This window comes from Homo sapiens, chromosome X (genome assembly GCF_000001405.40).
Source record: "Homo sapiens chromosome X, GRCh38.p14 Primary Assembly".
NCBI lineage: Eukaryota > Metazoa > Chordata > Mammalia > Primates > Hominidae > Homo > Homo sapiens.
The window spans coordinates 154,555,430-154,579,653 of record NC_000023.11 but is presented as its reverse complement, the minus strand read 5'-3'; the positions used below and the strand labels follow the sequence as shown (position 1 = coordinate 154,579,653).

The following is a 24,224-nucleotide window of genomic DNA, read 5'->3' as shown; positions in this document are numbered from 1 at the left end:
CATCAGCTATAACAGGGTTGGAGTCTACAGTGATATCTTCTCAAGTCTCCAGCATCTGTGTCGCACTCAGGTAGCACCACACAGTCCCGAGTGAGCCCCTAACAGATACTCATCTCCCTTGGGACAGAAGCAGCACATAGACTTCCATCTCTGGTCATTAGGTCCCACGGCCTAGGGACCATGTCTCAAAATTAGCTTCGATGCCATAACATATTTGATCAGAATATAGGTAATGTGATAAGCTGAAATATAAGCATTCCAACTGAACTTCAGGCATAGCAATGGCAAATTGGAAAGAGATGCAAAGAGATTTCAAGGACCTTGGAAATTCACGATGTCATTTAAGAAGAAAACACACGTCACTCCATTCCAGTAAAGAATCACAGACTCGGCCATGCATGTTGGCTCATGCCTGTAGTCCCAGTACTTTGGGAGATCCAGGTGGGAGGATCGCTTGAGCCCAGGAGTTCAAGAATCACAGACTCTTCCAGCTCCCAGTCCGGTGCTCTTAACCACTACGTGCTGCCAGTCATCAATATTCTCCCATATTTCCTTTAATGAAATAGGATCATTAAAGCTTAGGGGGAAACATTTGACAGGAAAAGATTTCACGTATTTTTCTAGATTTTCATTTCTTCTTTTTGTTGTTGTTTTTTTTGGAGACAAGGTCTCACTCTGTCACCCAGGTCAGAGTGCAGCGGTGCAATCACAGCTCACTGCAGCCTCGACTTCCCATGCTCAATCCATCTTCCCACCTCAGCCTCCTAAGTAGCTGGGACTACAGGTGCACACCTCCACGCCCGACTCATTTTTTAAAATTGTTTGTAGAGATGGCGTCTGACTATGTTGCCCGGGCTGGTCTCAAACTCCTGGACACAAGCAGTCCTCCCGCCTCAGCTTCCCAAAGTGTAGGGATTACAGGCGTGAGCCACACTGCACCAGGCCGCCTTCATTTCCTCTTTTATATAGACTCCAGTTGAATTTTTAAAAAGTAGTTGGTCGCCCGGAGGCAGAGACTGTCTTACAGTTTTTCTGTTTCCCAGAGTGCCTTGCTAAATACCCAATTGTTGACCTAATCTTTAAACTCAGAAGTACAAATTTACTGCACTGTAAAGACATAGACTCAACAGGTACAAAATCTTTGGTCTTTCAATCAACATAGGTCATGGAAACATCACTTCATTCCTAAATGCCAACGTAATGAATACAAGAGAATTGGTTTGAAACAAACATTTTGATCAGTGTTCACTTAAATTCCCAGGGGATTCCCACCTTACTCCACTCCCTCGGCTCAGCACACGTATTATAAGCCACACTAGTCCGCATCTGGTGTTACAACTTTCTGTCCAATTTCAGAACACCCTCCTTTCACCAATTCATGACCTGCAACCCTTCCACCGCCATTTCCACAAGCAAACTTCAGGTCTTTTTCAAGGTGAAGTGCCGTACTTGCTGCAGCACTTAGGTATTTTTTAACCATTTAACATGCATAGAATTGTGCTACCATTTTCATTAGGTTCCTATCTTCGTTTTTTTATGTGTCACTGACAAAGGTTTTGAGTATTGTGTCCCTAACCCCATTTTTCCTATAAGTTTTGCGATTTGTACTACACAATGATTTTGAGGTGTACACGTATGTCATGCTATAATCATAACTCATTGTATCACGGTTTGGGGAAAAAATTAACCAATAACCAATTTATTTTTTCAAAGATAACAGGTGTGCAAGCTTCCAGCAAATCTGCTTAAGCATAAGATCAAATCAGAGAACAGCTGTTTTTCCTCCAATGTTGATCCAGTGGCTAGCTAGCCCTCAAATCAGACACTAGATTTGGAACTGGGAGGACATCATTCACCTTGAAGTAGTGAACAAAAACATGGTTTTGTCAAAAAATAAAAGGGATAAAAGTCATTATAAAAACTGTCTTTCCCACCAGGCATGGTGGCTCATGCCTGTGGTCCCAGCTACTCGGGAGGCTGAGGTGGGAGGATCACTTGAGCCCAGGAGGTCGAGGCTCCAGTGAGCTGTGATTGCACTACTGCACTCCTGCCAGCCTGGGCGACAGAGCGAGACCTTGACTCTAAAAAAAGGGAAATTATCTTTTCCATCCTCAGAGCAAGCATGCAGAATATTATTGTCATCCTATTCATAGACGTGGAAGCTAAAACTAAGAGAGGCTGAGTGACTGGCCCAAAGTACCATGGCTGATAGGGGTTGTAATGAACTCAAGTGGTCTTTGTCTAGGATCAGAAATACCACCATCATATGTAATGGTGCTTGTAACTGTGACGTGTTATTTCCAATTGTCTGCAAAACACAAACATGAATAAATGAGATGAGTTGTTGGGGAAAAGTAAGAAAAAGGTGACACTGTTAAGGTTACCCATCTCTCCACGTACCTCGTAACATCAGACCCTGATTGGGGCAGAAAACCCTGGCCTGTACCACGATAAATGCCTCCTGTGCAATAATAGGATGTTCAACAGCTCTTCGGTACCAACGATGAACAAATTTTTTGCAAAAGAATATTATTGCTGCAATTGGCCGGGCATGGTGGCTTATGCCTGTAATCCCAACACTCTGGGAGACCGAGCTGGGCAGATTGCTTGAGCCCAAGAGTTTGAGAGCAGCCTGGGCAACATGGCTGTACCCACTCTCTACAAAAAATTGTAAAATTTGCCAGGCGCGGTGGCGCACGCCTGTGGTCCCAGCTACTCTGGAGGCTGACGTGGGAAGATGGCATTGAGCCCAGGAAGTCAAGGCTGCAATAAGCCATGTTCATGCCACTGCACTCCAGCTTGGGTGACAAAGTGAGACCTGGTCTCTCTCTATATATCTGTCTATCTATATCTATATCTATATCTATCTATCATCTATATCTATATCTATAGCTTAGCTATATCTGCAACAGTGAATAGAAACCCCTTTAGCAAAGTGTTCCCAAACTCTTGCTTCTAATTCTTGACCAACTCAGAAGTAAAGGAGGAGAATGAAGTAAAGGAAGTCATACGTTTCCGTGCTCTCATGCATATTTTTATTTCTGTAAGGTCAGTAGTAATGTGGCTACTTTCATTTCTGATTTTAGTCCTCGCTCTCTCTGTCTTAGTCCAGCTAAATGTGTCTCCGTTGCTCTTTAAGCACTTCCTTATTTTTCTGGGACAACAAGATGATCCAGTTAATCTTGGACTTTCTCTGCCCTAGCCCTGGAATCAGTCATTTCTCTAGTGAGCTCTGTTCTTTTTAATCAAGACGGTTGTTTAGAAATCGAGACCCAGGCACTAAGTCAACTCACTGCTATTGAGATGGTCCCAGGCCTTCTAAGTGATGGAGCTGAGAAATACCCATACACACAGCCCTATTTTACAGCTATGCTTATTTCTATACCTATCTGTATATTGAAAGCCATCAGTGTATCAGGCCACTCTTGCACCGCTATAAAGAAATACCTGAGACTGGGTAATTTATACAGAAAAGAGGTTTAATGGGCTCTTGGTTCTGCAGGCTCTGCAGGACGCCTAGTGCTGGCATCTGCCCAGCTTCTAGAGAGGCCTCGGGAAGCTTCTACTTGTGGTGGGAGGCAAAGCAAGAGCTTGTGTATCTCATGGCGAAAGCAGGAGCAAGCGAGAGAGAGAGAGAGAGAGAGAGAGAGAGAGTGTGTGTGTCGGGGCGGGGGGAATGCCACCCACTTTAAAATGACAAGATCTCTCGAGAACTCACTATCACGAAGACAGCACCAAGCCATTCATGAGGGATCCACCCCCATGACCCAAACACCCCCTACCAGGCCCCACCTCCAGCCCTGGGGATTACAAGTTAACATCAGATGTGGGTGGGGACAAACATCCAAACTAGATCAATGAATTCACACCAACAACTCCAAATCGAATCCACATTCAAGCCTTCTCTCTTTTCATATCTGCAACTCCTTTTCCAAACGGTGAGAAAGCCAGGTCCCTACATCATTCATATATTTACTGCAAAGCCAGTCAACCATCTGAGCCCATCAGGTCACCACCCAACTTGGCACACGTTCCTCTCTTGGACCCCTGACCCCTCCCCAGGACACAGTCACCCTCGCCGACTCCCTTCCTTACTCCACAAAACTTCCTTGTGCAGGACACTGCTGCGCTCAGCGGAGGATCGTGCTTCACACTGGTCCCCAGCTGCCCTCCACGCTTTCCTTGAGTGGGCCCCCAATCCCAGGGGCTTTTGGAAGAAGAGGGGGAGAAGGACAGGACCGAGGAAGAGAGGCAGGAAGGAAGACCAGCAGAGCAGCCGGCAGGAAGGGCCATTATTCCTTCTGATGCTCCATTCGTAGCCAATGGCAACTCAAATTGGTTGGCAGCAGTGTCCTCCTGACAAACGCTGTGGTCATGTCTCAGATTTACCTCCAGAGGGAGCACTTCAGTCCATAGTCTTGGTGCCAGCTGCAATGGCATTAGCATTGCTTTGAAGGCTTTTCAGGGGACAGAGAAAGCAAATGGGTATTTTTTAGAAAGAGAAAAATAAATTGAGTTCATCACGCCTGTAATCCCAGCACTTTGGCAGGCCAAGGTGGGAGGATGGCTTGAGCCCAGGAGTTCGAGAGCAGCCTGGACAACATAGCGAAACCCCATCTCCACGAAAAAATAAAAAATTAGCCGGGCGTGATGGCACGCGCCTGTAGTCCCGGCTACTCGGGAGGCTGAGGCGGGAGGATCGCTTGAGCCCGGGAGGTTGAGGCTGCAATGAGCTGTGATCGTGCCACTACACTCCAGCCTGGGTGACAGAGTGAGACCCTGTCTCAAATAAATAAACAAACAAACAAAGAAATAAAAAGTTAGACAGCTTTTACTTTTTGGATATATATATTCCCTATTCCCTGTGGATATTCACAAGCCTTTTTTTTTTTTTTTAAGTTTTTAAAGTTCAGTTGTTCTGTCATCTGTGTGGTGCTCCAGCATCTGTTTTGAGTCTCTCTCTGTCACCCAGGCTGGAGTGCAATGGTGCCATCTCGGCTCACTGCAACCTCCACCTCCCAGGTTCAAGTGATTCTCCTGCCTCAGCCTCCCGAGTAGCTGGGAGTACAGGCGCCCACTACCACGCCCGGCTAATTTTTGTATTTTTAGTAGAGACGGGGTTTCACCATATTGGCCAGGCTGGTCTAGAACTCCTGACCTTGTGATCTGCCCACCTCGGCCTCCCAAAGTGCTGGGATTACAGGTGTGAGTCACTGCACCCAGCCTCCAGCATCTGAACTCTTAGTCTCATGGTCTCTTTCCTGCCCTGGGTGTGCTTAGTTTTTATGTGCACTGCTCAGTGTCATTAAGAACTTTTTTCCCCCAGTGCTCCTAAAGTTGTTATATTAATACATCGCTCTTTTTATTTTAAGAGCTCAGGTGTACATGTGCAGGTTTGTTATATGAGTAAACTTGTGTCATGGGGGTTTGCTGTACAGATTATTTTATCACCTAGGTATTAAGCCTAGCACCCATGAGCTATTTTTCCTCATACTCTCCCTCCTCCCAACCTCCGCCCTGCAAAAGGCCCCAGTGTGTTTCATTCCCCTCTATGTATCCGTGTGTTCTCATCATTTAGCTCCCACTTATAAGTGAGAACATGTGGTATTTGGTTGTCTGTTCCTGCGTCAGTTTGCTAAGGATAATGGCCTCCAGCTCCATCCACGCTCCTGCAAAGGACATGCTCTCACTCAGGAACTTTTGTGGAGACTGCATCTCAACCCCAGGCTCCCACGAATCCACACATCCGTTGGGGTAACCGTTGTGGGTTGAATTGTGTCCCCCAAAAAGGTATGTTCAAGTCCTAACACCTGGGTGCCTGGGAATGTGACCTGATTTGGAAATAGGGTCTTTGCCGATGTAATCAAGTTAAGGTCATACTAGATTGGGGTGGGCGCTAATCAAATGTGACTAGTGTCCTCATAAGAGAGAGAGGCAGACACACTGGGAAGATGACCCCACGAAGAAGGAGGCAGAGATTGGAGCGGTGTCTCTATGAGACAGAGAGTGCCAGGGATTGCCAGAAACCACCTGGAGCTACGAGAGAGGCATGGAACAGATTCTCCCACAGAGCCTCCAGTAGGAACCAACCCTGCTGACAGCTGGATTCCAGACTTGTAGCTTCCAGAACCACGGGAGAATCCGTTTCTGTTGTTTTCGGCCACCCAGTTTGTGGCCATTTCTTACGGCAGCCCTAGAAAACTAATATGGGTACTGTCGGCCCAGGACCACCTCAGACCAAATTTAGGACTCGAGGGCCACTGAACGGCCCCACCAGGAAAACCTAGACTGCAAGTCTGCACAGAACCTGGCCCTTGGCCACAACTTTGCACAGGGGTGTTTTCCCTTTCCTTTCATCTCCTGCTTCCCCGCAATCTGCAGAGCTGGGGTGGGGTTTCCTTAATGTAGCGGGGGCTGCTATACAACTCCCCACACTTCACAAAGGCTTTGGGCCTTGCCTGCTGTCTCCCTTGCCTGGACGGCCTCCAGAACCAAAACCCAAGTTTGCCCAGGTCGGCCAGCGTCCTCGGGAAATAAGCAGCTTCAGTGGCGTACTTCTTCTTGGATTCCCACTTCCTCTCAGGTTTTGCTCTCTTGTTGGTTCTCAGCTGTTTTGAACAGTCTCAAACTGTTTCATCTATCATTTGCAGTTATTTTCAGCAGAAATATCTGTCTCAATAATACCACCCAGCATCACCAGAAACAGATGGCAGGTCTTGCAGTGCTTTCGGGGATGGACAGACAGACCACCCTGACCACCGCCCGCTAGGTGCGGGAGAAGACTTATTTCCAGCTATAGCACACATTTGTCGACTTTGGCTCTCCTAGACTGAGAAAGCAAATCTCACCCCTTCCCCTCAGGCCTGCGACACTCGGAACCAACGCGACCGATGGAATCCCTGGATCTCCCCGCTTCCTGTGACCGCTGAGTTCTGTTCCTCCAAGGGTACAATGACATCCATCAGCTGCCTGCCCCCTGCTGACACACTTTCTGTTTGAGGGTTTCCCTCTCAATGACTATAGAGAAAGCAACCTGGGCCGGGTAGAAGAGCAGCTGCTAGTCTCCTGGTTGGTACCAACCCTGGGTCTCTGAGGAAAGGACAGAGTAGGGTCACTCTGCTTCACAACACAAAGTCGCCCATTCTCCCTGCCAGTTCTCAAGCCTGTAATCCCAGCATTTGGGGAGGCCCAGGTGGGAGGATCACTTGATTTCCAGGAGTTCGAGTCCAGCCTGGGCAACACAGTGAGACCCTGTCTCTACTGTTAAAAAACGTAAGGAAGGAAGGAAGGAAGGAAGGAAGGAAGGGAGGGAGGGAGGGAGGGAGGGAGGGAGGGAGGAAGGGAGGAAAGGAAGGAATAAGGAAAAAAGGAAGGAGGGAAGGAAGGAAGGGAGGAAGGAACGAAGAAAGGAATAAGGAAGAGGGAAAGAAGGAAGGAAGGAATAAGGAAGAGGGAAAGAAGGAAGGAAGGAATAAGGAAGAGGGAAAGAAGGAAGGAAGGAATAAGGAAGAGGGAGTGAAGTAAGGAAGGAAGGAATAAGGAAGAGGAAGGAAGGAAGGAAGGATGAAAAAAAGGTCACCTGTCAAACATAGCTTTAGGAGAGGATGTAAATGTTCAATGTTGGTCTTCTTCTGTGTCTTCATTTGCATTTTCATGGGAGCTTACAGGAGGCGCCCAGGTGTCTTAGACAACATTTTTAAAATAACGACTTGAGGTTTAATTCACATGCTACACAATTCACATGTCTAAAGTGTACAATTCGATGGTTTTTAGTATATTCATAGATACGTGCAACCATCAGCATGACCAGCTTCAGGACATTCTCATCATCTCAAAAGGAAACTCTGTCTCCATCAGCAGTCACTCCCCGTTTTCCCCCAACTCCTCCAGCCCTGGGCAACAACCAATCGACTTTCCTTAGACAACGTTTTGAGCCCTTATTGGGAGGAATTATAGTCGAATGGAAAATCCAGTTTGGGACGTGGTGTAAACTGGAATTGCTTTCGTGGTTTTTCCTTGTGCCTTGGGTGGGGCACTGCCGTAAGAGCATTGCATCCATCCTTTCGTCGGTACTCTGCTGCACACGGATGGCATTTCTGCCCTTGTTACAGATGAGGAAACTGAGGCTCAGAGACATTAAGCAAGGGGCAGAGTGGGGCTTGTCCATGAGACCCCAGAGTCTGTGCTCTTGCACATACATTATCAGGCCAACATGATCTATCCATCCGAATTCCAAATAAATAAATAAAAATGCTTATAAGAAGTCCCCCCATGCTGCGGGGAGGCAGCGGCTCATGCCTGTAATCCCAACACTTAGGGAGGCACAGGTGGGAGGATTGCTTGAACCCAGGAGTTTGAGACCAGCCCAGGCAACATGACAATACCTGCATCTCTGCAAAAACGAAAAAAAAAAAAAAAAAAAAAAAAAAGACAAAAAGAAGTCCCTCCAAGTTAGTCGCCATGCTCTCTACCATGGGTTTTCTGTGTTATCCCTATCACATGCATACAGTCATTTCTACCAAGCACCATTTATGGTGACAGGGTATGGTCTACAAAAATATTGACAGAGAAATCCTGATGGAGCTCAAGACAAGCTCAGGCCACCAAGAAATGTGCACCGAGTGTAGCTGTGCCGAGCATCGTTCTAGGGCAGGGGTCCCCAACCCCCCGGCCACGGACCGATACTGGTCTGTGGCCTGTTAAGAACTGAGCCACAGAGCAGGCGGCGAGTGGTGGGCACGCGAGCGAAGCTTCATCTGTGTGTACAGCTGCTCCCCATTGCTCGCATGACCGCCTGAGCTCTGCCTCCTGTCAGATCAGCCAGCGGCCTCAGACTCTCACAGGAGCGCAAACCCTATTGTGAACTGTGTGTGCGAGGGATCTAGGTTGTGTGCTCCTTAGGAGCATCTGACTAATGCCTGATGATCTGAAGTGGAAGAGTTTCATCCCCGAACCGTCATCCCACGCCCCATCCCCGTCTGTGGAAAACTCGTCTTCCACAAAACCGGTCCCTGGTGCCAAAAAGGTTGGAGACCGCTGTTCCGGGGGATGGTGCCTGACTGAGCTGGAGGAGGCCTCTGCTCTCCCTCTGGTGGAAGGAGAGAGAAAACAAAGCAGAATAAATGAGGCCGTTTGGACTGCCAAGCTGGGAGTTAAAACAGTGCAGTGTGATTTAGGATGAGGACTTTAAGATGAAGAAGGTGATACGCTTAGAACTGTTGAAAGTTTAAACTTAGAGCTGAATGAGAAAAAGAAATCGGCCATGCAAAGATGAGGGGACAACAAGGACAAGCGCCGTGTGTTCGAGGAAGGGCCAAGAGGCCAGCGTGTGTGAGGTGCGGCCGGCATGTGGTGCGGCTGGGTGCAGCGGGCCAGCAGGAGAGGGACATAACGTGACGTCCCAGCGGCATGAGGGCTCTGCGAGCCAGGCTGAGGATGAGTTCAGGTTTCCAGGGCAACTGAAGGGCATGGCAGGGTTTCAGCAAAGGTTTACCAGATGACACTGGCTGCCATGTGGAGAGTAGATCACAGGGAGCCCACGCTCTCCAGTGTGAAAGCAGCAAGGAGGTCACTGTGATAGTGTAGGCAAAAGGTGAAGGGACTCAGGAGTTTGGATCATGAGAGGAAGAGGAATCCGTTTTGGTTTAAGCAACTGGGGATGAGGGAAAGGGCAGAGTTGGCAGGGGGTGGGGGCTAAAAGTCCATTTCTGGCTTGGACGGGCTACTGGGCTCATTTTCGTGAAGGAACAGATCAGGACTGGAAGACAGAAATCTGTCATCAGCATCAAGGCCTTGAAGATGGACGAGGTCACAAAGGGGCAGTGTCTGAGCAAGGAGAGGAAGAGAATTCGGGAGTCAGCTCGGAGACACAGGAACCAGCAAGGAGCCTGCGAAGCAGCTGCCAGGACGTGGAAGGAGAACCAAGGGGTCTGAGGAGGAGAAAATGATGGTGCTCGGAACTGCAGAACCTCTCGGCAGGCACACTGCACTCAAACCCCTGCCCGAAGACACCCGGCCACCACCTCGCGGGGCCTCTGGGAGCCTAAGGCCGCGCCCCTGGGACGCCCCAGCCCCCTTTTGAGTGAGTTCCCGTCTGGAAACGCTCAGGGCTGCCCAGAGCATGTACTGTCTGTTCCGGCCAACACCTGACCTCCCTTTCTGACAGCATTTACTACAAAGGGCTTACCCTGTCCCTTTGAGACATCTGTGTAGCACCCACAACCCAGGGGCTTTCCCGAGGGCCCCGCAGCCACTCCTTGGAAACGGAAACCTCAGGAGGCGCGGGGCCCAGTCTCCCAGTCTCCACGGGACGGAAGCATCCCAACCTTGGTAAGCACCGGCAGCTCCCACACACGGCTGGCCTCGCGGCAAGGACGCTGGCTGCCCCGTCATCTTTCACCTGAGCCTGCACTCGCCCCCTCCCGACTCCCTCCTTCTCCCTTCGCAAGGCCAGGCCGCCTCTGCTGGGGCGGGAACGGAGCTCAGCTCTCTCCCCCGCAAGCAGGGGTTTCTGAAGAAGATCTCTTTTGCCAGCTTGAACAAAGGCCCGCTTTTGTGTACCTTTGTGTATCTCCGGTGTTCTTGTCAAAAGAGGAGGACAGGCACAGAGGCCCGCGGGGACAAGGCCACAGGATGACGGAGATGGAGGCTGGAGAGGTGCAGCCGGCGGCCCCCGGCGCCGTGGAGAGGCCTGGAAGGCAGCTCCCTCGCGGCCCTGGCGGGGAGCCCACCCTGCCGACACCACCGCTAGCTCAGCCTCCAGGCCTCCAGAAGCGGGAGGCCACGCGTTTCTGTGGCTTCGGCCCCGCAGTCTGTGGTGCTTGGTCACGGCAGCCCCAGGAGACACAGTCAGCCCCTGCCCCGTGCCTTGCTGAGAGGCTGTGTCAACAGCGGGCTCTTCCCTGCCACTGGCACAGAAGAAAACCAAGCTGCGTTACCACCCGAGCGACTGTGTGGGAAGACGTATTCTCTGTGTATCAAAGGAATGCGTGCAAATGATAGGCATTTAGGAAAGGTACTAACATGTAAGGAAAACTTCTCATTACTGGCCACCCAGCTACTCACGTCCGTCCAAATGTTAGCAGGGTATGCACTCAGAGCTTTTACTTCTCTATTGGGGTCACGCTTTATCCATAAGTTTGTCACCTGGCCTGTTCACACCAACATGCTACAAGGCATGTTGCGTGTGAGGAGATGTTCAAAATGCCAGCTGTGCCGGACCACATCGTTACATACGCAGCCTCTTATCTCACCCCGACCTTTGGCAGCTACAAATGACGAAGTGAAGCACCTTCCCAATGCCAGAGTCATCGCTGAGTGCCCGACTCTCTCTTAGGGTTACGCACCAGGGCTGAGGACGCTGCCTACGGGCTTGCTCCATCCCAGCAAATGGCCCCCTCGGAAAGGGCAGCATTGCAAGGGCCGCTGTCCTGCACCTTGCCAGCAGAGCGCTCACCTAGGGCTTCATCGGTTGCCATTTTCAGATCACTTTTTGCTTGCCGTCAGACTTGCTGTTGTTTTAGTTACTGATGAGGGTGAAATGCTTTCTCACTGTGCTTACTGGTCGCCCGCACTGTTCTTGTGCATTGGTCGGCAGGAGGGGGAGCGCGCATGAACACCAGAGAACGCCACAAGCTCCGGCAGGGATGGGCTTCGTTTGTGGATCAAGGGGCCGCAGCCAATAGGGCAGGCAGGCTGGTTCCCTCCCAAGAGTAATCCAACCAGTTGTTCTGGAAGCTCAACCTAAGTAAAGCCGAAAAGGAAAACCCTGGAATGCCGTACTTCTGCGCAAATGGTATGGTTTTAAATCCTTGGTGTCTGGTGTATGGTCAACCCTACACTGTGCTACCGGAGGAGGGAGGAGGCAGCCCCACCTCCGGGCAGGGCGGTGGGTCTAGACCAATGCCTGGTGGGTCTAGACCAAGATTCTGACTCGGTTGGTCCAGGGGGCCCAAGCAGGGGTGTTTTTCCAGCTCCCAGGCACTGCTGCTGCATTTGCCCTCATCTGTGTGCACTGGAACATGTCCCCATACTGGGTTGTGTGATGGCCCTGAAGAGATACGTGCATATCTTATGGGTGTGACCTTCTTTGGGAAAAGGGTCTTTGCAGATGTAATGAATGCCGAGATGAGGAGATCATTCTGGATTATCCAGGTGGGCCCTACATCCAATGACTGGTGTCCTTTATGAGACAAAAGGGAAGACACAGACGAAGAGGAAGAGACTGTGTGATGACAGAGGCAGAGACTAGGGTGATGGCTCTATAAGCAACCAGCAGAGGCTAAGACAGAGACCTGTAAACGATTCTCTTGGCACCTGCAGAGGAAACCAGCCTTGCCGGACATAGTGGCGGGCACTTGTAATCCCAGATACTCGGGAGGCTGAGGCACAAGAATTGCTTGAACCCTGGAGGCGGAAGTTGCAGTGAACTGAGATGGCACCACTGCACTCCAGCCTGGGTGTCAGAGCAAGACTGTATCCAACAAGAAAGAAAGAGAGAAAGAGAGAGAGGAGAGAGAGAGGGAGAGAGAGAGGGAGAAAGAAAAGAAAGAAAAAAGAAAGAAAGAAAGAAAGAGAAAGAGAAAGAAAAAGAAAGAAAGAGAAAGAAAGAAAGAAAGAAAGAGAAAGAAAGAAAGAAAGAGAAAGAAAAAAGAAACCAGCCTTGCTGACAACTTGATTGCAGACTGTGGCTTCCAACACTGTGAAGGAGTTTCTGTTGTTTTAAGCCCCAAGTGTGCAGTCCTTTGTTACAGCAGCCACCGTCTACTCATACACCCTCCCTCCAAAAAAAAAATGTAAAGTGCTCTTGTAGAAAAATTGCAAGATTAGGATTTAAGTGCAGCACCCGTGAGCAGACAAGCTGTCTGTGCCTTTCACATTTTCCCAAGTAGAATCTGATGGGCACCTGGCTTGAAGAAGGGGAAAGGTCACTCCCCGCCCCCACACCCCGCCCCCAGATGCTGAGAAAGCCCTCAGGCCAGGTTAATTTTTAGAAGGCCTCATATCCCAATTCTAGCCAGCCTCACACTGTCAAATAGCAGGAAGCCCTGTGAGGAAGCCTCAGGGTGGATTCACAATATCCCGTTCCCAACCAGGGCAGCTTGGAGGAGGGCAGGAAGGAAGGCCCGGGTGCTGGGGAGTCAACTTCCAACTTTGTTTCCTTTGCTACAATTGCAGGGTTAATGCCCAGGGCTCTGACACCCCGGGAAATTTCCAGAATCTTGCAAAACAAGTAGAGTCGTCTGTTCTTCCTAATTGGGGCCAGTGTGGGAAATGGCATCACAAACTTCTGGAATATGATGAAACAGCCATCACCAGTCACACTGGGCAACAACACTCTTGGTGAAGACAAGAGCACGCTTCGGTGTTAGAAAAAGAAAAGTGCTCATGTGTGAAGCATCCCTCCCACAGACCACAAGGTGGTCACGACGACTCCAAAGTCAAAGCAGTAAAAGGGGGAAAAAATGGATAAATGTGACTACATAAAGAAAAAAAAACTTCGAGGCTGAGAAGCACCAGTAGTTTAGCAGGGTGTGGTGGCGCACGCCTGTGATCCCAGCTACTCGCAAGGCCGAGGCAGGAGGACTGCTGGAGCTCAGGAGGTCAAGGCTGCAGTGAGCTCTGATTGTGCCACTACACTCCCACCCGGGTGACAGAGACCTTATCTCAAAACAAAAAACAAAGAAACACTAGTAGCGAGGTCAAAGCAGGAAAAGATATCTGCAATTTCTATCACAGCCACAAACCCAATCCTGCTCATGGACAAAGAGTTTCTAAAAGCTGAGCAACAAAAGATAACCCAGTAGAAAAACGGATAAAAGATATGAGCAGCCCAGCGGGGCGCAGTGGCTCACACCTGTAATCCTAGCACTTTGGGAGGCCGAGGCAGGCAGATCACCTGAGGTCAGGAGTTTGAGACCAGCCTGGCCAAAGTGCTGAAACCCCCATCTCTACTAAAAATACAAAAATTGGCCAGGTACAGTGGCTCACACCTGTAATCCCAGCACTTTGGGAGGCCAAGGCAGGTGGATCACGTGAGGTCAGGAGTTCGAGACCAGCCTGGCCAACATGGTGAAACCCCATCTCTACTAAAAATACAAAAATTAGCCGAGCGTGGTGGCAGGCGCCTGTAGTCCCAGCTACTAGGGAGGCTGAGGCAGGAGAATAGGTTGAACGCAGGAGGCAGAGGTTGCAGTGAGCTGAGATCACGCCACTGCACTCCAGTCTGGGCGAGAAGAGCAAAACTCTGTCTCAAAAAAAAAAAAAAATACACACACACACACACACACACACATACATATACACAACTATACATATACATATATATATATGATATGAGCAGCCCATTCAGAAGCAGAACTAAAAAAGGTCCTTAAAGCCTCAGGAAAGATGTTTAAGCTCACTCTTAACAGAGAACTGCATGGCCTAGCGAATGACAAAAACCCAAACGGGCTTTCCCACCTCCTCCTTGGCAAGGCTAGGGAAATAGGGGGTGGGGAGAGATGGGAAACCAAGCTCCAAGGAGGAAGGGGGCTCAGGTACCATCTACGCCATCGCCCATGCTCAGTGGTGTCACTTCTCAGAATCTATGCCAAAGATACGCACGACTAATGCACAAGGATTTTTACTATGCCATTATTTATGGTAACAAAAAGATGGGAAACAACCCAAATGTCCATCAATAGTGACTGGTTAAATACACATCGGTCTGGCTGCAAAATGGAATAGCATGCAGCCCAAAAGGAGAGCACCCGTGTGCATGGTAAGAGGGCAGCACTCCCAGGGCACAGCGGCGGGCGGGTCGGTGTCCGGTGGGAGGAAGAGCGGCCACCCAGCTCTGCCAGGGGAAGCAGTTCTCCCTGAGAGCCCCAGGCCCCATTCTTGACTTCCCCAGTGCCGGGTGGAGGAAGAGGGAGGGATTAGCCCGAGGCAAGTGGTTCGAGCAGACAGAAGGGAACAAAAAGAGCAGCGAGTCAGGCCTGATCGGGGCCGCATCTACCCCAAAAGAGGGGACCAGCGGATCAACAGCTGAAGCGTAAGGTGCCGCGGCCAGCTCCTGGGTGGGGCTCCAGGTGGCATCCCAGTTGTGGCCACCCAGCCCTTCATCCTGGGCTAGGCAGGCGGGAGAGGAAAGCGCAGACTGCACGGTCCCGGGCACGTCCTCGGCAGGCAGTGGCCTTGCACTGGCCGGCCCTACTCAATGCACTCCATGACATGTATCTGCAGGGTGTCCATATCAGGGGCCTGATACTGGCACTTGGGACAGCAGAAGTCAGGTGGCTCCTCGGGGGGGCTCCTCCTCTGGCTGGGCAGGGCCAGGGGAGAGGAGAGGTAGGCTGGGAAAAGAGAAGAGTCAGAGGGAAGGGGAGGATGGAGGGGGACGGAGACTTGGCAGGACTGTCAATGGCAGGCCTGGTCTCACAGGCCACTCATGTAAGACCAGGAGCCGCCGCTACCACGGCATGCCTCCCTTAGCCTCGGGGAAGGGGGTGGGCTACCGATGGGGTGGCCTACACGAGCTCCCGCCGTCAAGTCTCCAGAGAGCAACAGGAAGGTCGAACTGTGACCTCCCGCGGCGCAGCACCTGCCCTCCCCACCCACCTCCTCCCGCAGGCCCAGTTCTCGCTCACTCACCAGGGGCGGGGGGCAAGGGGGCCTGGGAGACCTCGACATGCCGCTTCCTCATGTCCTCGATCCTTTGGAAACAGAAACCGTCCAGTCAAGCCACGCATTTCTGTAAAGCTCCTTGGCTGGACTAGTGTCAAAGCAGCTCTTGGAAGCTCAGGTGAGAGGAGAGGGACCACAGTGAGCCCTAACCCAGAACACCAGGAGCCATCCGTCTCCTGTGGTCACCACTGGCAACCCCCCAGTGTCGCACCCACTGCGGGGTCACCACTGGCGACCCCCCAGTGTCGCACCCACTGCTCACACGGGCACGCTCTCAGAGGCCCACCTGGCCGACTCCTGACAGCTGGCCTTCAGTTTGCTGTACTCCCTCTGCAGCTGCTCCAGCTGCTCCTGCAGGAGCTCCTTCTTCTCGGCCAGCTTCTCCCGGGCCTGCCTCTCAGCCTGGAAGTCCGCCTTGTAGATATCCGCCTGGCAAATCCAACAGAAAGGGATGTGCCCGCCACAAGCCAGCCACCCACCAGGCACTGCGCCAGGCACCACAGGAACAAAGCAGAACCCACTGCTGTCCTCCCAGAGCCCCCAGCGGCGCAGAGGAAACAGATACGTCGGCGAGTAATGCCAAGCTCACCGAGAGGTCTAAGGAGCAGCACAAGTGGCTCAGAAGCTTACGAAAGGCCACTACAAAATGATGCCAAAGAGGCCGGGTGCGGTGGCTCACGCCTGTAATCCCAGAACTTTGAGAGACTGCGGTGGGCAGATCACCTGAGGCCAGAAGTTCGAGACCAGCTGGGCCAACATGGTGAAACCCTGTCTCTACTAAAAATACAAAAATTAGACGGGCATGGCGGCAGGCGCCTGTAATCCCAGCTACTCAGGAGGCTGAGGCAAGAGAATTGTTTGAACCCGGGAGGCAGAGGTTGCAGTGAGCCAAGATCGTGCCACTAGTGGCACTCCAGCCTGGGCAACAAGAGCAAAACTCAATCTCAAAAAGCAAAAGCAAAAAAAAAAAAAAAGACGCCAAAGAGACTCTCCAGGTCCCAGTGCCAGGGTGGGTCAGAGAGGAGGGCCCTCACCTGGGCCTTCAGCACCGGAACGGTCTCCATCACAATCTTGTGCTGCTCGGCCTCCTCCTTCAGCTTATCGATCACCTCCTGTTTGGCCACCAGGGCCTCCTCGGCCTGCTGGAGCTGCTGTTTGAGATCTTCCAGCTGCATTCCCTAAGGACGGGCAAGGGGAGCTGACGGAGCCTCGTCAGCCCAGGGCGAGGCTGGCTGAGAAGAACTGAGAAGGATGAAAGAGTGGCCCTGGCTGACCAGGCTGGGTGATGCCAGCCCCTGATTTGAGGGCCCATTGCAGGATCTCAGCGTGCACAGGGAGATGGCTGCGTCCTGTCACGGCCCAAAACGACAGAGGAGATGCTGAGGTTTTTTTCAGGACTGAAGAGGCCGCTGAGGTCATCTGGTACAACCTCCCAGCTGGGCCGACATTCCCTTCCCAGAATCCCCAGCTCCACAGCCCTCCTCCCACCCTTCACAGGCCACAGGCCACACCCACTCACAGCCAGCCGGTCCTGTGCCCGCCATGTGCACAGCTCAGCTGAGAGCCCTCAGTCCTTCCACTCTGCCACCTGGTCAGAGGTGCACTCCTCCCACGCAGGCATCTCCAGCCCCCTGAGACACACACAGACACACCCCACCAACGCCCCCCTCCAGAGATTAAGTGGCCAGTTTTGTAGCTAACTCTTCCCCATGTGACCTGGCTTCAGGCTTTGTCCTTATAAATCTCCTCTGGGTACACTTACGATTGACGGTGTCCTGCTAAAATGTGATCACTAGCAAACTGCACCCCAGCTTAGGTCTGATGAGGACAAACTAGGAAAAGGCTCCCAGCCAACACTGGGGTGGAAATGCTGTCGGGCTTACCTTGGCTTGGGGGAAGCTGAGCCAGGTGCCAGATGGCGATGGCTGGCAAGAGGGAATGTCCATGGAGACAAGACGTCCCCAGCCCCACAGAGGGAGCACCCCAAGGCTCTGGCCCAGCCCCCCATTAAGATGGCCTGCTGACACTCCTGAGAGCAACATCCTGGGGTTGCCATCTCCCCACAGCTTCCCTGAGCTGTCGCAGCTGCAGCCTGACACAGGTCTAAGGCAAGTCTAAGGCAGGTCTACCCATTCTCAAGGTTCAGGGCCACGGGGAGAGGAAGAGGCAAGGCCAGCCCTAGAGCCCCAGTGGTCGCACTCACTCGCTTCCGCTCACTGCCCACCACGCTGCTCTTGATGTGGTTGTCGTATTCTTGGAAGAGCTGGTGATAGGCCACCTGCAACTGGGCCAGCTTCCTCCTGAGGAAAGGGAGCTTTTGCTGGAGAAACCACCTCATGCCAGTCCAGCCACGGTGCTGCCTGCTTCCAACTCTACCCCCTTCCTTCCCTCCCTCGCATCACAGGCCTGGAATGGGGTCTTCCAAGGCTGTGTGAGGACTCCTGAGGCCGTCAACTCTAAAGCAGGCTTTGGTGGGCTGGTCACCAGGCAGTTAATATCGTTTTCCTAAAAGCTAGTATTTTTAATGTTTATAATAAAATCGCGGCCAGACGCGGTGGCTCACGCCCATAATCCCAACACTTTGAGAAGCCAAGGCAGGAGGATCGCTTGAGCTCAGGAGTTCAAGACCAGCCCGGGCAACATAGGAAAACGCCACCTCTACCAAAAATGCAAAAATTAGCCAGGTGTGCTGGCCTGCGCCTATAGTCCCAGCTACCTGGGAGGATCGCTTGAGACCAAGAGGCGGAAGGTACAGTAAGCCGAGATTATGCCACTGCACTCCAGCCTGGACGGTAGAGCAAGACCCTGTCTTGAAAATAATAGTAATAATACAATGGAACTACCCTGCACTGTTCAAAACTGTGAACTTCACAAACAGCTCAGAAAGGCAGGGGAACTGTTCTAGATTAAAGGAGACTGAAAAGGCACGCCAAGGACAGGAACCTGAGGTCCCAGATTGGATGCTGGTAGACGGGGGGGTTTGGGGGTATTTTTGTTGTCTTTCTGTTGCCCAGGCTGGTCTTGGAACTCCCGGGCTTAAGCCATCTACCCACTTTGGCCTCCCAAAGTGTTGGGATTACAGGCGTGAGCCACAGCACCTGGCCTAGAAGGGGTTTTAAAGGACAAGTCCCCTGATGACCTAGTGGCTAGGAAAAAAAAACTACAAAAAAGGCCACGTGTGGACACGCAGTGAAACGTGGTCTGGAGAGCAGATGGCATGACTGTATCAAAGACAAACCGGGTGTCATCATGGTCGCCTCTACCGTTAGCAAGGCTAAGGGACAGAATGGGCCCACAGCCACAGGCAGAATCTGAAGGAGTCCTCAGAAGGCAGAAAGAACCATGGACCCGACACTTCTCAGCCTTTCGGCTAAGATCAAGTGTAGAACCACAGACCCTGCGGTGCGGCCCCGCCCCCGCTGACTCACTTCTCCTCCGAGGCGGCCTGGCGCTCCATGCGGAGCGCGGCCTCCACGCTCTGGCCCTGCATGCGCAGCTGGTCCACCTGCACGCTGTGCTGCTGCTGCAGCGCCTCGCGCTCACTCTCCAGCTGCCGCGCCTGCTCGCTGGCCGCCCGGGCCCTGGCACGGGGAAAGAGCAGACTCAGGGAGGACGAACGGGGGGACGGCAGGGGCTATGCGCAGGGCGTGGGCGGGGGGTGGGGGTCGGCTCTGAACACCCTGTGACTGCGAGCTGATGCCAGGCGGCAGGGTGGAGGCACCGTCAACAGACACGAGGACAACTGCAGGGGGCCAGGTGGGAGCAGCAGGTGAGGAGCTTTGCTTAAGACGTGTTTGCTTCAATGCAGGGGCCCAGCAGGTGACCAAGTACAGATGGCAAGGAGACCTGGAAGCCAGGGGAAGGGGGTGGTCCGAGAAAAGGATGGGGTCGCCTGCATCCCGCAGTGCTGGGGCCAGGTGAGAGGAGCCCTCGGAACTGCCCGTGGAGTTCCACTGGGGGACTGCTGGGGGCCCCAGCAAAAGCAGTCTCAGTGGAGGGGGTCAGGAGAGACTGCTGTTCCAAAAATGAGAGACTGCCCACCTGGGCGTGCAAGCACTGAGCTCAATGCAGACCGGGCCTCGGCCCCATCCCTGCTGCTGCCCAGAGCTCTGCTGGAGTCCCAGACGACCTGCTCGGATGCTCAGTTCCCACACCTGCCCCCCTACAGCTCCCTTAACCTCCAGTTTCCAGGGTCTGGCCTCATCCCACCACACCAAGCCCTTCCACAGCCTCACTGCAGGGACAATGGTGGGTGCATCTGTCCAGGTCCTGGGTGGCCTCTGGCCACAGGCAGACACGGCCCTTCTCCAGTCACCCCAACTCTGCCTGGCAGGCCTGGCTGCTTGGCTCTCCCCTCCGCGCCTGCCTGCATACTGCCCCCACACCCTGCACGGGTTCCCTCTGCCCATCAGAGCCTGGGTCAAGCTCCCCTCCCCTCTGCCCTGCTGGCTGCCCCAAGTGCACCTTGACCGCCTACTGTGCTGGGATGGCTGGGGCCCCCCTGGCAGCTGATCCATCTGTCTGGAGGGCAGAAGCAGGACCGAATGAGAACCACAGAAACCTCCCTGCCCTTTGACCCAATGGTCCCACTCACAAGAACCAAGACCCCTTTGCAAAAGAGAGTAACCAGCAGGCCTGAGGCCACCGGCTGGCAAGGTTGGCCCTTGGCTGGTGAAGTTCCCTTGCCACAGTGACACTTTCTCTAGTGGTCAGGTCGGTCCCTGCACCTAGGCCATTTGTAGGAAGAACGTGGTTGACGTGAGCACCCGCTCTGCTGCTGGGAGTCGGGGATTTAGGTACCTGCCTGGCAGAGGGCGCTGACAGGACCTGCCCCCAGTAAACACCCAGGGCGCTGAGTCTCTAGCGGGCATCCCTGGGCAGGAACACGGCCCGTGTGGGAGGCGCTTCTCACTGTGCCGCTCGCAGGGCAGCGGGAGGCTGGGACAGGGCTTCTCCAACTCCCCCCACGGCTCCTGCCCTGGCGGCTCCTGCCCTGTGCCTTTTTCCCTGTCATCAACCTCAGCCACGAGGGCGACTGTGCGCCGGTCCCAGAAGTCCTTCCAGAGAACTAGACACTGTGGGTGTGGGCTCGGGGCCCCCAGAATGCCTCCTAAGGAAATAATCCAAACTCCATCAAAGGGTCACAGAGTGCGGAGAGCCGGCTGGGACCCAGGTCCCGGATGCCTGGCCCAGACCTCTCCCGACGTCTGCCCCGACGTCTTTACGCAGCCTGCCCCGGTCTATCCTCATCAAGGAGCACCCTGGAGGCCCCTAAACCCACCTCATTGCTTTTGGAAACCCTGGAAGGGGTCTCCGGAGCCGGCTCCCCCGACTCACCGACCCTCCAGAGCCTGGCATTCCTTAGTGGCAGCCTCCAAGCGACTCTGGCTCTCCTGCAGCTCCCCGAGCAAGGACGTCACCTGGGCTTTCACAGAGGCCTTGTCCTCAGCCATCTGCTGCAGGATAAAAAGCCACTTCCTGTCAGCACTGCTTTCTCCCCAGCGGCCCACTCCTGCCATCCGCAAGCCCGGGGCAACCCGCAAGCGGCTGAGGCCTGCGCGCCATGAGGCCTTTTTTCCTGCCCTCGGCACCCCCAAACCTGGGTGCCCTAGGGCCTCATGAGCCCAAGGGCCACCCAACCCTCCCCAGCTGCCCACCTTAACCCTCTGCCACAGGGTGACACACAGATGGGGCAAAAAGAGATCCCCAAAGAGACGAAGGAGCACAAAGCTGCCTTGAGGTTGTCAACGGCTTAGTCACTGCCCCGGCAAGCAGGCCTCGAGGGCTGAACCCGGTGGCCTTGCAGCTACAGCCCCAGCAGGGGATCTCTCTCCGTCTCTCTGAGACTTGGGACAAAAGGAGGCCAGACACGAATAGGGCAAAGTAAACACAGGCCCCAGTCCACACCCGGGGCCGCCAGGATGGGAGAGTTTGTGCAGATCAAGAGTGGACACTGAATTTTGTTAAACACTGGGAACTGCAGAACCTCTCGGCAGGCACACTGCACTCAAACCCCTGCCCGAAGACACCCGGCCACCACCTCGCGGGGCCTCTGGGAGCCTAAGGCCGCGCCCCTGGGACGCCCCAGCCCCCTTTTGAGTGAGTTCCCGTCTGGAAACGCTCAGGGCTGCCCAGAGCATGTACTGTCTGTTCCGGCCAACACCTGACCTCCCTTTCTGACAGCATTTACTACAAAGGGCTTACCCTGTCCCTTTGAGACATCTGTGTAGCACCCACAACCCAGGGGCTTTCCCGAGGGCCCCGCAGCCACTCCTTGGAAACGGAAACCTCAGGAGGCGCGGGGCCCAGTCTCCCAGTCTCCACGGGACGGAAGCATCCCAACCTTGGTAAGCACCGGCAGCTCCCACACACGGCTGGCCTCGCGGCAAGGACGCTGGCTGCCCCGTCATCTTTCACCTGAGCCTGCACTCGCCCCCTCCCGACTCCCTCCTTCTCCCTTCGCAAGGCCAGGCCGCCTCTGCTGGGGCGGGAACGGAGCTCAGCTCTCTCCCCCGCAAGCAGGGGTTTCTGAAGAAGATCTCTTTTGCCAGCTTGAACAAAGGCCCGCTTTTGTGTACCTTTGTGTATCTCCGGTGTTCTTGTCAAAAGAGGAGGACAGGCACAGAGGCCCGCGGGGACAAGGCCACAGGATGACGGAGATGGAGGCTGGAGAGGTGCAGCCGGCGGCCCCCGGCGCCGTGGAGAGGCCTGGAAGGCAGCTCCCTCGCGGCCCTGGCGGGGAGCCCACCCTGCCGACACCACCGCTAGCTCAGCCTCCAGGCCTCCAGAAGCGGGAGGCCACGCGTTTCTGTGGCTTCGGCCCCGCAGTCTGTGGTGCTTGGTCACGGCAGCTGTAGAAAACTCATCCACTTCCCACACAGGAAATCAACGCCTTAAGCCAGGCGCTCTAAGCCCTGAGTGGAGCGGCGTGCACAGCCCACCATCCACGCCTTTCCCCAGGGGAGTGGAGCCTGGCTGTGGCAAGTGCCAGGTACCCGCCAGCAAGTCTCCTCTCCAGCACTTCTCTCCACCTTGCCCCTCAAAGGGAGCACGGCCCCTTCCTGACTACCATCGCCAGGATCCTGCGATCAGCCAAGCCCACACACAAAGACCCTGAAACCAGGCGGTCTGTGCTAATGACACGATTTATGGGGGGAGCCTTGGGCCACACAGCTGGACCTCTGGTGGCTACAGCCGAGTGACCAGGGTTGGCCACGCAGGCGCTCGGTGCCCACGCGGCCCACCCCCCGTGAAAACCCCGGCCGCCACGGCTGGGGTGAGCTTCCCGGTTGTGACTCCGTGCTCGCTGTCCCACACTGTTGCCGAAAGAAACAGGTGCCGTCTGCACAACTCCCCTGGGCGAGGAGCCGCTGAAGCTCACGCCTGGTCTCTCCTGGAGCCCGCCCTGTGCGCCCTGAGCCTTCGCTCACCGTAACCTGTGTCCTTTCCTTGTAATAAACCGGAACTGGGAGTGTGACGGCTTTTCTGAGTTCCGAGCCCTCCCGGCACAGCACTGAGCCCCAGGGTGCTTTGGGGGACCCCGACCACGGGTTCCCTTGTGGAACACTGGCGTCACCGCGGGTTTTCAGAACCTGGCCCTGCCCCGACTACCTGCTGGCATCTCTTCAGGTGCTCCACCTCCCGCAGAGCCTGCTCCTTCTGCCTCTTCAGATCGAGCTTCTCCAGGCCGAGTCTCTCCACCAGTTTCCTGGCCTCCTGGAACTTGCACATGAGGAACTCCTTCTCCTCCCTCTGGCTGGCTTGGAAATGCAGAAGCTCCTCGCAGCGCTCCCGCAGAATCTGGTTGCTCTGCCGGATGGCATCTGGTGGCAGAGGGGACAGTGGAGGGGAGCTGGGCAGCCCGGCCTGCCGGGCCCTGCCTGGGCCCACATGGGCCTGAGGCTCAGGAAGTCAGAGGCCAGAAGTGGGGCCACCCATCCTGGTGCCCCCACCCGCCATAATACCACGCAGCTTCTCTCAGGGGTGGATGGCGTCTCAACACTCCCTTTTGTTTCTTTAAACACTTCCAAAATCCTTTACACTAATGCCCCTCACTTTCTGCAAGAAAATAACACCAAACACATCAGCTTCACTTAAAAGTACGTGTTGGCCAGGCACTGTGGCTCATGCCTGTAATCCCAGCACTTTGGGAGGCCAAGGTGGGTGGATCACCTGAGGTCAGGAGCTCCAGACCAGCTTGGCCAACATGGTGAAACCCCGTCTCTAATAAAAATACAAAAATTAGCCCGGTGTGGTGGCACACGCCTGTAATCCCAGCTACTTGGGAGGCTAAGGCAGGAGAAGCACTTGAACCTGGGAGGTGGAGGTTGCAGTGAGCCGAGATCACACCATTGCACTCCAGCCTGGGGGACAGAGCAAAACTCTGTCTCAAAAAAAAGAAAAAAAGTATGTGTTAAATGCCACTTTTTTGAATTTTTATTTTTGTAGAGACAAGGTCTTGCTATGTTGCCCAGGCTGGTCTCACATCGTTGGCCTCAAGCAATCCTCCCACCTCGGCCTCCGAAAGTGCTGGGATTATAGGCATGGGCCACTGTGCC

At 53.8% G+C, this 24,224-nt stretch overlaps 1 protein-coding gene and 1 long non-coding RNA gene across 12 annotated transcripts in view, besides 9 other annotated features; both read right to left on the bottom strand.

Annotated features, from left to right (window-relative positions):
* Positions 1-7,693: 7,693 nt before the first annotated feature.
* FAM223A (family with sequence similarity 223 member A) lies at positions 7,694-8,406 on the bottom strand. The gene has a single exon (NR_027401.2). It is a non-coding gene; the product is annotated as a family with sequence similarity 223 member A (long non-coding RNA).
* Positions 9,085-9,884: an enhancer, noted in NCBI's record as "H3K4me1 hESC enhancer chrX:153798001-153798800 (GRCh37/hg19 assembly coordinates)". NCBI's record gives its function as "activates a minimal SCP1, AML or CMV promoter by ChIP-STARR-seq in primed H9 embryonic stem cells {active_cell/tissue: H9 hESC(primed)}" and the evidence as "EXISTENCE:reporter gene assay evidence [ECO:0000049][PMID:30033119]".
* Positions 9,956-10,834: a non allelic homologous recombination region, noted in NCBI's record as "IKBKG downstream recombination region IKBKG NAHR recombination sub-region, recombines with the IKBKG NAHR recombination sub-region within the IKBKG recombination region". NCBI's record gives the evidence for it as "EXISTENCE:Southern hybridization evidence [ECO:0000078][PMID:11590134, PMID:10839543]".
* Positions 9,957-10,565: a mobile genetic element, noted in NCBI's record as "direction; reverse".
* The window catches only part of IKBKG (inhibitor of nuclear factor kappa B kinase regulatory subunit gamma), a 23,809-nt gene continuing 14,192 nt past the window's right edge, over positions 14,608-24,224 (bottom strand). For 4 of the 11 annotated variants that reach the window (NM_001377312.1, NM_001099856.6, NM_001321396.3 and 1 more), the window contains exons 3-10: positions 23,278-23,489; positions 21,004-21,122; positions 19,095-19,247; positions 17,870-17,966; positions 16,701-16,844; positions 15,953-16,095; positions 15,634-15,695; positions 14,608-15,335 (exon numbers count right to left, since the gene is read on the bottom strand). In NM_001377312.1, coding sequence (NP_001364241.1) covers positions 15,193-15,335; positions 15,634-15,695; positions 15,953-16,095; positions 16,701-16,844; positions 17,870-17,966; positions 19,095-19,247; positions 21,004-21,122; positions 23,278-23,489 — 1,073 coding nt within the window. In that variant the 3' untranslated portion in view covers positions 14,608-15,192. The remainder of the gene's footprint in view (positions 15,336-15,633; positions 15,696-15,952; positions 16,096-16,700; positions 16,845-17,869; positions 17,967-19,094; positions 19,248-21,003; positions 21,123-23,277; positions 23,490-24,224) is intronic. The other 7 variants (NM_001377313.1, NM_001321397.3, NM_001099857.5 and 4 more) reach the window with 6 other exon arrangements.
* Positions 14,653-15,152: an enhancer, noted in NCBI's record as "H3K4me1 hESC enhancer chrX:153792717-153793216 (GRCh37/hg19 assembly coordinates)". NCBI's record gives its function as "activates a minimal SCP1, AML or CMV promoter by ChIP-STARR-seq in naive H9 embryonic stem cells {active_cell/tissue: H9 hESC(naive)}" and the evidence as "EXISTENCE:reporter gene assay evidence [ECO:0000049][PMID:30033119]".
* Positions 15,153-15,654: an enhancer, noted in NCBI's record as "H3K4me1 hESC enhancer chrX:153792215-153792716 (GRCh37/hg19 assembly coordinates)". NCBI's record gives its function as "activates a minimal SCP1, AML or CMV promoter by ChIP-STARR-seq in naive H9 embryonic stem cells {active_cell/tissue: H9 hESC(naive)}" and the evidence as "EXISTENCE:reporter gene assay evidence [ECO:0000049][PMID:30033119]".
* Positions 21,353-23,156: a meiotic recombination region, noted in NCBI's record as "meiotic double-strand break mapped by DNA meiotic recombinase 1 chromatin immunoprecipitation followed by single-stranded DNA enrichment and sequencing in the germ cells of some male individuals with the PRDM9 A/A and PRDM9 A/B genotypes". NCBI's record gives the evidence for it as "EXISTENCE:chromatin immunoprecipitation-seq evidence [ECO:0000229][PMID:25395542]".
* Positions 21,638-22,249: a mobile genetic element, noted in NCBI's record as "direction; reverse".
* Positions 21,640-22,518: a non allelic homologous recombination region, noted in NCBI's record as "IKBKG NAHR recombination sub-region, recombines with the IKBKG downstream recombination region". NCBI's record gives the evidence for it as "EXISTENCE:Southern hybridization evidence [ECO:0000078][PMID:11590134, PMID:10839543]".
* Positions 22,346-22,535: a mobile genetic element, noted in NCBI's record as "direction; reverse".